The sequence below is a fragment of the Homo sapiens genome, chromosome 7 (assembly GCF_000001405.40).
Source record: "Homo sapiens chromosome 7, GRCh38.p14 Primary Assembly".
Taxonomy (NCBI): domain Eukaryota; kingdom Metazoa; phylum Chordata; class Mammalia; order Primates; family Hominidae; genus Homo; species Homo sapiens.
The window spans coordinates 105,879,452-105,892,083 of record NC_000007.14 but is presented as its reverse complement, the minus strand read 5'-3'; the positions used below and the strand labels follow the sequence as shown (position 1 = coordinate 105,892,083).

The following is a 12,632-nucleotide window of genomic DNA, read 5'->3' as shown; positions in this document are numbered from 1 at the left end:
CTGTTCCCCACCTCTTCCAGTTCCGGCTGGCTGCGGTGTTCCTCAGTGTGTAGCTGCCTCACTCCAATCTCCATCGCTAGCATCTTTAAACCTTTCCTGCTCCATCTTTACATCGCCTATTCCTCTGCGTGTGTCATTATTTCTCTGTCTCCTTCTTATACAAGGATACATTTAATGGCATTTAGGGCCTAACTGGCTAATCCAGAATAATCTCTCCAACTCAAGATCCTTAACTTAATCACCTCTACAAAGCCTTTACCAAATAAGGTAACATTCATAGGTGTCAAGTATTAGGACCTGATATCTTCAGGGGCCACCATTCAGCCCAACAGAGGTTATTACTCATTTTGTGAAATGCCTTTGGAAAACTGAGACATACGATGTGTCCAGATTTCTCTTTTCCACCTCTCGGGTAGGGCCTGCCACAGAGGAGAGCTCTGTAAATGCTTCTTGAATGAGTAGATGAATAGAAGATGTTGTTCCACTCTACCATTCCCCACCCCAGCCCTCAAAAAGAGAAAAGAATGGGTCTATGACTCCTTTAGCATAACTGGTTTCCCCAGTTCACAGACCCTTGAGAAGCTAGGGGGTTTCGGAAATGGGGAAGCTCTTCATAACTGGTGGCCATCTGACACGCTGCCAATACCTATTGGGAGGGATACAGAATTACTGAATGAGCAACAAGACTAAAATTATTTACAAATGAGCTTTGCCCACTACAGAGGGTGTGGGCTTTGCTCATATTTGATTTCTCTCTCTCCCCAGCACTCTGAAGAGGGTTGTATTGTAGCCAAATTAGTTCTTTGGCTACTGAATAGGAGGATGGGAGAGGGAGACCAAATGGCACTGGATAGACAGAAGGAAATTAGTTTATCTTCTCCAAATAGAAGGGACCCCTGATGCACTTCACATAAAAGTACAGCATCTTGGGAGGAGGCCAATTAAACCCCTAACAGGGTCATTTCATAATAAAAACTATTCTCAAGCCCCTGGTCTGGACCCCAGAGTTGGATCAGAAACCTGGTTCTCTGCTGTTGGAGCAGGTTATTCTACAGTTAGCATATTTATTGCTCTTTCATAATTCCTTATCAAAACCAAACATTCACTCCTTGGTGCTCATCCCCAAGACACCCCACCCATGATGGAGTTCTCTTGATGTATCTACCTTCAAAGACAAAGAAGGGGTTGAGATTCACATGTGGTTCAAGCCAGCACACCAGCATAGGAACCCAGATGCAAACTCAGGCACAATGGTCCTAGCTAGAGCAGGATGTGCACTTGTGGGGCAGGCCCTCCTGACCATGGTGTGAAGCCTGGGGACGCCATTCCATGGAGAGCTGCTTGCTTTGGGGGAGCTACAACAGGCTGTAGCATTTTCTTGACTATGTATTAGAATCCTGGGTTGGTGCCACAGTTTTCTGGAAAACACATCAGTGCAATTATAAAGCACATCAATGGGACAACATGATATATTCAGCAACATTCTCAACAAACTAGTCCCTTTGACTCCCATTATAGCCTTCTATTATACAAATAGAGGCACGTGTGGTTTGTGGTTGAGGAAAAGAATGCTCATCGCTAGTTCTTACTTGCAGTGACTTATCTGTGAATTTCTAAAGTGCCTAAACCCCTTCTGAAGGATATAATGAACCACGGAAATGGAAACAAAAATTATCTCACCTATGTGCAATGCCCATACTATAAAGTTTGAAACAAGGAGATCAAGGGTTTTAGAGCATCAGATAAGACTGTAAAAGTTTCACAGGTTAATTTTGTTGCAAACCTGGTCCTTTTAAAAAGTACAAAACTCTATAAAGGAAGAGACTGATAGATATAACTGTATAAAAAGTAAAGACTTCTGAATCTACATAAATCTACCTTATCTGTATACACATAAATCTACCATAAATAAAGTTAAAAGACAAATAGCAAGTCAGGGAAAAATCTTGCAATTTATAACATAAAGGGGTATTTTATTTAAAATATAAAGAGCTTTCACAATTCATTAAGAGAAAGGTGAACACTCTAAAAGAAAGGTAGGCAATTTACAAAAAAATGAAATACAAATCATCAATAAGCAGAGATACAACTGAAACAAGCTGGAGATGAAATTCTCTCCTCAGACTGAAAGATGAAAAAGAATCATCCATACAGCACCTATGAGGCCATGAGGAAATGGGAATTCTCATACACCCTGGCAAAGTTTGGCAATTTCAAAATTGTAAATGTGCATCCACTTTGACTTGGCAATTCCATTTACAGAAAAGCATCCTAAAGAAATAATCATAGGCTGGGCACTGTGGCTCAAACCTGTAATCCCAGCACTTTGGGAGGCTGAGGTAGGTGGATTACCTGGGGTCAGGAGTTAGAGGCTAGCCTGGCCAACATGGTGAAACCCTGTCTCTACTAAAATTACAAAAAAATAAAAAATAAAAAATTAGCCAGACGTGGTGGCAGGCACTTGTAGTCCCAGCTACTTGGGAGGCTGAGGCAGGGGAACAGCTTGAACCCAGGAAGCGGAGGTTGCAGTGAGCCTGGGCAACAGAACAAGACTCCATCTAAAAAAAAAAAAAAAAAAAGAAAGAAAAGAAAGAGAAAGAAATAATCGTAGATGTGCAAAAAGATTTAGCTACACACAACATTTACTGCAGCACTGTCAATAACATATAGAAATATTAGAAAAACCTAAAAGCCAAAACTGGGGATTAGTTAAAAATATTATAGTTTAAGAACCAATCACTAGAATATTATAGTCTCTAAAAGCAACTATTTAAAAAGTGATTATATTGATCTATATTGGCTGTGTTATCATATAGTTCTAGATATTTAATATATATAAGGTGGCTTGGTTTGGAGATTGGGGATCTAAAGGTATATAAATATATTATTGATAATGCGTGGCATTATATATATATATCAAAATATTAACACTTATTTATAGGCTTATAACTCTTATTTATGCCTTTCAATTCCTTCTGAGTTTTTTGCAACGATTGCTTTCTGCGCAAGGGAAAAAATACAACTATTTCATAAAGACAGGATTCACATGTGGGCAAATACTCTTAAGCTGGAAACATCTTTTTTGGCCACTGACAACTCACAGAGTAAACAAAAAAGACTAAAGTGCATCATTTAAAATTAGGGTAGCCATATAATTTATCATCTAAACCAGGACACTTTTGATTCTGAAAGGGGAAGCTATTAATAATTTTACTGGGACAAGTAGCATAATCCAGGACTTCCTAGGCAGACTCAGCTGTTTGGTCAGCTTACTTAGAATGAAAATTTTATATACTCTGTCTACAAAAACGACCCAGTGTTGGAGCTTTCAAGGGTAGGCCACAAATGTAGAGACTACCCTTTTATCAGTATGATTGGTTGTAGTTTTTAAACATGCCAACCAGATGGTTAAAGGATTTTGAAAAGTTCATTTTTCTCACCTAATTAGCTTGTTTGGATCGACAGAGCTCTAATTTTAGAGATTTGCTCTTGATAAAAAGTATTTCTCAAAGAAATATACCACTTAAGACCAGGCGCGGTGGCTCATGCCTGTAATCCCAGCACTTTGGAAGGCTGAGGGGGGCGGATCACCTGAGGTCGGGAGTTCGAGACCAGCCTGACCAACATAGAGAAACCCCCCTCTCCACTAAAAATACAAAATTAGCTGGGCGTGGTGGCACATGCCTGTAATCCCAGCTACCAGGGAGGCTGAGGCAGGAAAATCGCTTGAACCCGGGAGGCAGAGGTTGCAGTGAGCCGAGATTGCGCCATTACACTCCAGCCTGGGCAACAAGAGTGAAACTCCGTCTCAAAAAAAAAAAAAAAGAAAGAAAAAAAAAAAGAAATATACCCTGTGACTAAGAACACATTGTATTATTAGCTATACTATGTCACATTGCAGATTTTAATCTTGGAAACACTGTGCAACTCTTTTAAAGTCTTCTTGATTCCAAACTTCCTGAGACTCACCTGGTTTCCACTAAGGTCTTTATACAGGGAACTGTTATCTCTGTGACCTGAGGCTCTTACTTAAGATGGCCACTATTCACATCCTTCAGCCTTGGGTCACTCTGCCCACCAGCTATTTATATCCTCCCTGCCTTTCACAGCGGGGCTCAAGTTTCTCCTCTCTCCTGAGACTTTGCTGCCCACCACAGCCATCCGTGCTGCTCAGCCTCCTGTGACATTTCCTACCTGCACATCAGATCAGCATCTTCTCACAGGCTATCCTGTTTCCTAATTATTGATTGCACACAATCTCCCCCAAACTAAATAAGCTCCTCGTGAGAAGCAACTATTCTTAGTCTATACCACGTGGCACTTGGCACTGGGCCAGGCAAGGTAAGTCTGTCAACCTCTCTTATCCCGATTATAAAGTGGGGGTTGTAATTCCTTTGTATACTCCACCTCCAACACGAACTGGGGTAGTAACTAGGCATTATAAGAGATAATTTTTTAAATTAGCCAGATTCCCTGAATGCCAGGGTATTTGTGTAGGTGGAAAAATCAAAGCCTTCTCAACTGAAGCAAGGCCTTTTCCTCTTTAAAACACCGTGAAATGACACACACTACAGATTCAGAACAAACTTAGAAGAGAACAAATCTGTTGAAGAATAGTGTCCCATGTGTTAAAAAAAATGGCTGCGTAGGTACAAAGGATAAAAGCTTGGACAGGCTGTGTTAACATCTGCAATGCTATCACTCCCATCTTACAATATTTTACTTGTATTTTTATTCTCCCTGTAGAAGGCCAATATGGAGCTCATCCATTGATCAATTCCCCAACATTTGTGCCCACCTTCCTAAGAGTCCAGAACCTGCCATTACTTGGCATCGATTACAACCTAAGCAACGCATGTTGCTAAATCAATCATGGGTCAATCTATAATTGAAATAACATTCTTTGCACCTCCCTGCTGCCAAATTTATTAAACTAATACAAATGTCAATGTCTCTTTCTTCCAAGCCTAGCTTAGGATGACTTAAGCCCTAACTGAAGTGTGAACAACCAAAATTAGATACCGAGGCTCTTATATTTATTCCATGACCCAAGGCACTATGTTTCTCATATACAAAAGAAACCTTGGGAAATCTGCCAACTCAAATGTATTACTTGTAAATGGCATCACTCTGCAATACCAATGTATAACCACACATGTGGTTGGCAAGGGAGGGTGACTCCTTTTCCAGCAAAAAGTAAAATTCCCAGATGAACTGGTAACACATACAAAGGGACATCAATGACGCCATTCTTTCTGCTAGTCCATCTAGCACCTGAGTGAGCATCAGGAAAAGGCTCACCTGCTTCAAAAAACTACTTCCATCTGTTAGAAAATAGTCTTTATATTCCCAATTTTGTTAGAATAAGCTACTTTACTGCCATCTGCCAGAAAAATTATCATAATAAATCTCTGATGTCTGTGATTTGAACACTGACTCCTTAGAAGGGACACAATTGTGCAGTGTACAACCTACACAGCAGTGCTGGCCAGGTGTTTAATAACTTTGGAATATAGTAAACCAGTAGGGGGGAGCCATGCTTTATTTTACTTCCTCTCTGAGCCTCAGTTTCATCATCCATACATTGGCAATAATAAGAGCTATCTAGTATCTGATCAGGCTTCCTATTGGAGTAGGAAAGCAATGGTTTGTGAAAGATTAAGACAATAAAAGACCACATTACTTGATTATTACATAATAACTATACCCATAAGACGGAGAACTCACATTCTCTTTGACTCTACAAATATCATTCATCCAATTACATAATTTAGGTCTTCACATATTGAAAGTGAAAAGACTTCATGTTTTTTGGTAGTGATGATGGGTCTCGCAGCCCCCACCATACTCTCTTACTAGATTTCTGATCGAAGAAGCCCATGATGGCAAGGTAGTTGGTGAGAGTTAGGCATTTATTATCCAGGAATGAAAAAGAAAAAAAAAAAGAAAACCTAAAATTAACTGGCCTACATCAGGGTTTCTCTCGATCTCATCACTATCATTTTGGACGTGATCAACCTTTGAGGTAGGGGCCGTCCTGTGCATTCCAGTGTAGGAAGTTTAACAGCATCCTTGGCTTCTACCCACTAGATATCAGTAGCACCTTCACCCCCCAGTCATGACAACCAAAAATGTCTCCAGACATTGCCAAATGTCCTCTGGGACGAGGGGGTGGCAAAACTGCCCACAGTAGAGAAACACTGGCCTACACAGAAATTCAAATTTATGGCCGTAGCATCATTCTTGGGAAACAGCAAGCTGGCCTCCCACCAAAGGAGACCTGGACTTTAAGTTCTACTATGGGTGTTCTGTGACCTTAAAGTTTCTAGCTTCTACTTCCTGTCATATAAATAAAACCCAGACTCTGGTCTCTCACTTCCAGGATTTCCTCCTTTGCAGGGTATTAAAAGGTAGGGCTGGGGGAAAGTGTTAAGGACAACATCACAGCTCAGGCATCCCCCTCTGCTCACTTGGTACTTGGCTGCCTGCCAGGTTCCCAGCATTGCCATCTTCTCTTGAATAATGGTGCTGTTACCACACAGGGCTGGCATGAAGCTGGATACTTGCAGCCTTCCTGTTGTGGCTCCTACAGCAGTATCAACTCATAATTTAGTTTCCCATAGCACAGCTATCGAAGGCTAGGTCATTTAATAAAAACTTGGGTAAAATAAAAGAAATGACAACACAGAAAACCTTACAACTGGGTACTGGATTTGAAGGATTCCAGAGTCACACCTTGGTCATTCCAGACAGGTCCTCTTTCCAGACGCTGCCTGGCCCAGCTCCCAGCCCACAGGGTCCACCTGCTTCTCTCCCACCACCCAGGGAGACCTTCAGTCCCTTCCCCTCTGGGAAGCCCAGGGGTTCCATGCCCTGTCTCAGGTCTGCTGTCTCCCTCTCCTCCAGCCTTCACTTTCCATGGCTCTACTTTCTCCCTTCTGGCCTGACGGACAGCTGGGAGCGTCCACATCATTCAAGAAAATTCCCAACCACCACCCACAGAGGTTGGCCTTTTTAGAAACTTAGAAGACAATATCTCTCAATAATTCAGTTCCCCAAGTCTGAGATATTTGTCTTGGAAAATCATCTCAGGGGAAGCTTCACCAAGAGCCGAGGTGGCTGTAGTCGCTGGGCCCATCTTTACAGCATCCTGTGGGCATGAGGTGAGGCTCTGTTTCCTATGATCTTCTAGACATGGCAAATGTTGAACAATGTCATGTATAACACACTTCCCAGGAATTAAAAAAAATAATTTTTTGGCCGGGCGCGGTGGCTCACGCCTGTAATCCCAGCACTTTGGGAGGCCGAGGCGGGTGGATCATGAGGTCAGGAGATCGAGACCATCCTGGCTAACAAGGTGAAACCCCGTCTCTACTAAAAATACAAAAAATTAGCCGGGCGCGGTGGCGGGCGCCTGTAGTCCCAGCTACTCGGGAGGCTGAGGCAGGAGAATGGCGTGAACCCGGGAAGCGGAGCTTGCAGTGAGCTGAGATTGCGCCACTGCAGTCCGCAGTCCGGCCTGGGCGACAGAGTGAGACTCCGTCTCAAAAAAAAAAAAATAAAAATAATAATAATAATAATAATTTTTTAGAGATAGAATTTACTAAATCTATAATGAAAAAGATTTTTTGTAGACCACAAAGCATATTATTTAAAGAAGAGTAATTAATTGGTGCAGGAAAAGAAACAGTTCAAACAATGAACAGAAAAAGAGCTCAGAAACAGACCCAGGTGTTTGGAAAATAAGCATAAGAAAGATCTCTACAGAAAGGATAAACTATTCAATATATGGTTCTCAGGATAAATGGTAACTGTTTGGAAAAAGATTGAAAATTAACTTTTTACCTCACATCATTAACCAAAAGATCCAAGATCTGAATAAAAAACCAAACACCTATAAAGCATAAAGAGAAAATATAAGAAACTATTTTATGACCTTGAGGAAGTGAAGGTCTTCTTAAGCAAGACACAGAAAACAAAAGGCCTCAAGGAAAAGCCTGAAATGTCGACTATTTCCAAAGGGGAGAAAAAGCGTGTGTGGAAAAGATGCCATAAACAAGGTCAAAAGAAGAAAAGCAACAAGGTGGAAAATTACATTGTTTCCAAATAGAGAAAAGATCCAAATCGAGAATACATAGAGAATTCCTACAAATCAATAAGCAGCTCTAAATAATACCAATGACAAATCATCAAAGGATACTAACAGCAATTTACAGAGTACAAATACAATGAACATGAGAGGAAAATGCTCAAAAACACACCACAAATGAGGGAAATACAAATCAAATTTTTTTTACTCATAACATTTGCAAAATTTAAAAGGTTTGAAAATGTGGAGCATTAATTAAGGAAATGGGCACATCTCTGTACTGCTAGTGGAAGTATAAATTACTCAGCTACTTCAGAAGACAATCTGGCAGAACTATTAAAATTAAAAATGCACATACCCAGCAATTCTATTTCTGGGTAGTAATACTTCCTCACGTGCCCAGGAAACATACATAAAAATAAAGACGTTGACTACCTATTTTTCATAAAAACTAGAAACCTAAATGTCTATCAACTTAACAGATAAATATTTGGGAGGCCAAGGTGGGTGGATCATTTGAGGTCAGGAGTTCAAGGCCAGCCTGGCCAACATAGTGAAACCCCACTTCTGGTAAAAATACAAAAATTAGCCGGGCATGGTGGCAGATGCCTGTAATCCCAACTACTTGGGAGGCTGAAGCAGGAGAATCACTTGAACTCGGGAGGTGGAGGTTGCAGTGAGCCGAGACTGCGCCACTGCACTCCAGCCTGGGCAACAGAGCAAGACTCTGTCTCGAAAAATAAATAAATAAATAAATAAGAATAAAAATAACAGATAAATAGACCCTGGAACATTTTATGGAATACCATGAAGCAGTTTAAAAGAATGAGGTATTTCCACACATAATAACATTTAACAGCACGTGTGAAAGAAGAAAATTACAGAAAAATGTCCGTGAAGTGATACTATTCACATTAAAAAGAAAAAAAAAAAAGACAACGCACACAGCAATATCATCTACACCCATAATGACAGACATATACCGTAGGTAAATGTGTAGAAAATGGTATGAAAAATGCCTTTAGACCTGGGGGTACAGGAGTGACCACATTTGAAGGGGATATTTCTCCCTTATCTCTATTGTTTTACTATCTCATGAGGAGAACATGTTTATTCATGATGTATTAGTTTGTTTTCACACTGCTGATAAAGACATGCCCAAAACTGGGAACAAAAAGAGGCTTAGGCCGGGCATGGCGGCTCATGCCTGTAATTCCAGCACTTTGGGAGGCCAAGGTGGGTGGATCACCTGAGGTCAGGAGTTCAAGATCAGCCAGGCCAACGTGGTGAAACCCCATCTCTATTAAAAATACAAAAATTATCCAGGCGTGGTGGTGGATGCCTGTAATACCAGCTACTTGGGAGGCTGAGGCAGGAGAATCACTTGAACCTGCAAGGCGGAGGTTGCAGTGAGCCAAGATTGTGCCATTGCACTCCAGCTTGGGTGACAGAGCAAGACTCTGTCTCCAAAAAAAAAAAAAAAAAACCGGTTTAATTGGACTTACAGTTCCACATGGTTGGGGAGGTCTCAGAATCATAGTGGGAGGCAAAAGACACTTCTTACATGGCAGCGGCAAGAGAAAAATGAGGAAGAAGCAAAAGCGGAAACCCCTGATAAACCCATCAGATCTCGTGAGACTTATTTACTATCACGAGAACAGCATGGGAAAGACCAGCCCCCATGATCCAGTTAGCTCCCCCTGGGTCCCTCCCACAACACATGGGAATTCTGGGAGATACAATTCAAGTTGAGATTTGGGTGGGGACACAGCCAAACTATATCACATGATTTTCAAAATTCACTGTCAAGTTTCTTTTATGGAAGAAACAAATTTTTCAAAGAAAACAATAACAAGCAGAAATCACACTCTACTTAGTTTTAAGACAACTATTTACCTCATCATGCAAAGGCAGTTTTGTCTGCAACCAAACTGGATTTTGCAGTCCCTCTGCATAGCAAACGGTCTTTTAGGACCTTTCCTGAATAAAGGTATATTTATATATTACCATGATGTATATGTCAAGAGGAGGTTTTGGGCAGAGGTTTCAGACAGAGGCCTCCACATAACTGATGCAGGCCAGCAGCTCCGTGTAAAAGAGAGAAGTGCTTTAAGTTTCCTTTCTAAGCAGAAGGATGTCTGTCAGAAGCAACCAGAGGAGCTACTCCTAGGTCAGTGTCAGCCTGTCTCTGACTGGCAGCTGCTGTCTAAACGATGCACTGAAACTGAAGTAATCATCACAGTGAACATTGAACCACTGTCCACTGTGTGCCAGGCCCTATGCCTGGGGCTCAGTATCCAGAATCTCACTTAATCCTCACAACAATCCCAAGAGAAGAGCTTTACTACCCATTTCAGAGATGAGGAGCCTGAGGTTCAGAAGGATCAAGGCAGGTTCTCAAGCAAATGACTAAAGGGCAATTCTAATTCATACCTGCCCATCTCAAGCCTATGCTCTGGCCTCCACCCTGTACTGCCTCCTGCACCATAGTAAATGGTAGGTTTGGAGATATGGATGGGCTTTGCTCAAATCAATATGTGTACATTAATGTTAAATTTCTTTATATGTAGGTTAAGGGCCAAAAGTGATTTCTACAAGAATCCTAAAGAGAAGCTATCATCTCTCCTGTCTCGTCCTTGCAAAGGATAGTGGTCAGGAATGGGGCTGGATCTGCCACATTCTGGGGAACAGAGATGACCTCAACCTTCAGCACCAGAGCAGTTCCAGGGAGCACCAACTGGCCAAAGTCACAGGTGAATCAGTCAAGAGTTTTAAGACAGCTTTCCCTTGAGATAACACACTCCCGTGCTGGCTGTTCTGACCCAGTCAGAATGCAAATGTTTGTGTAGTTATATTTATTAATAGAGTCCACGGTTAGCCAGGCCTGGCACATGGCTAGGGCTCTGTATTGAAACCAATAAGTAAAAGCCTGGAATTTCTATTTTCGTTCCCACTCCTGTTGCTACTGGGGGCCTTTTATCCAGTCCTGTTTTTAATCCAGCAGCCTGCAAGGGGCAGGAAAGAGGCAGGTAAAGTTGTCTAGCAAGGCAGAGTAGAAGGCACACCTGCCCTCCAGATGCCGAGAGCTTTTATAAAAGGTAACAATGTAGGTAACAAATTTCCCCCAAATTATAATTCTCAGGGAGAAAGGGTTAGGGAAATAAATTTAGAGAGAAGAGTGGCAGATGGGACAGATGGATTCAATTAAGGCAAAGAACATCAAATAATTCCAGGGATGCCTCATTCTAATGGAACATGTCATTTTCTCCTCATTGCCTCCAGGTAACTCCCAACAGTCTAGGTAGGAAGTAGGGTGCTCACACCGTGCCTCAACCACGGCAGGAGTTTAATATCCTCAAATGAGAGAGCTAACATTCCCTCTTCTCTTCTTTTCAGTAATGTGGTGAAACAGCACATGAATCAGACTAAGTGAATGCAGGATACATAATAGATGCACATTTCTACAGAACCAGGTGTTATTCAAGTTAAATAGGTATTTTCCATTGTCATTAAAACAGAACAGATTTCTTTATTTGGTCTATGGGAGACTCTCCCTTTTAATTAAACCAACCACACTGTCATTTTCCTAAGAAAGATAATAAAACAATAAAAATATTTACATCCTTTTTTCTTCCTAAACATTAATCATGAGGGGAAGAGGGTGTTTTGCCTTTGCTAGATAGTTTTATCACATAGACATTATACTAATATGCTTTAAATTACTGTTTTACAGGTCACTTTATCCTTATTAAGGATGTATTAGATTCTTGTTGCCTCTAACAGCATTTGTAATTATTTACTACCAAAAGGAATTCAATTCTGTAATAAATCGATCACCATATATAGTTGATATATGAGTATTGATATGTATATAATACATACACAGCATGTAAACCTGAACACTACTTCCAACTGACCTCAATTTTCATCCAAAGTCAAGTGTAAATGTCTAGTAGTTTGATGAGCGATGCTTTCTTTATTCTCTGCCTCTCAGTTATGCAATTTGATTGACAGTCATGTTATCCAACACAGTCATAGATGGGTTATAGTTTCAACAAGTCAGTATTATTATGTCTATAGTCAATGGAGAGACTGGAGAAGGCTTAGAGTAAAGCAACTCTACAATTATACTCCATAACTAACTGCAACAATGTAGACATACTCTGTTATCAATTAAATGTGGCAATGCCTGTGAAGTCTTCTTTTGTAGAGATGCTAAATCACTTTTAGATTCTAGCCCACAATTTACCGTACTGTGGAGTAAAATCATCCCAAATAGAAGGAAATAATATTTGGGCTGTCAGACTCTCTTCAAGGTCCTGTGTAGTAACCTCCACTTGACAGACTCTGCTGGGAAAGTAAGCTCATGTTAAAATATGGAACCACTGATTTGCTTCACTATAACTGAGGTGTCCTGACTTCTGATGATAAGCCACCTTTGATTTTTTTGAGTGGTTTACAGTAGCTCCCAGAAGAGGAGACAGCATTCTGGAAGCTCAAGTCACTGACTCCCAGCAAGTGGCCCACTCACATGGCTACTAGC

General features: G+C 41.1%; 2 annotated features.

The window, feature by feature from the left end:
* Window positions 3,528–3,724: a silencer, noted in NCBI's record as "fragment chr7:105528806-105529002 (GRCh37/hg19 assembly coordinates)". NCBI's record gives its function as "represses an EF-1alpha promoter that drives an FKBP-Casp9 reporter gene in an ReSE screen in both phorbol 12-myristate 13-acetate-treated (for megakaryocytic differentiation) and untreated K562 erythroleukemia cells {active_cell/tissue: K562 | K562(+PMA)}" and the evidence as "EXISTENCE:reporter gene assay evidence [ECO:0000049][PMID:32094911]".
* Window positions 7,149–7,332: a silencer, noted in NCBI's record as "fragment chr7:105525198-105525381 (GRCh37/hg19 assembly coordinates)". NCBI's record gives its function as "represses an EF-1alpha promoter that drives an FKBP-Casp9 reporter gene in an ReSE screen in K562 erythroleukemia cells {active_cell/tissue: K562}" and the evidence as "EXISTENCE:reporter gene assay evidence [ECO:0000049][PMID:32094911]".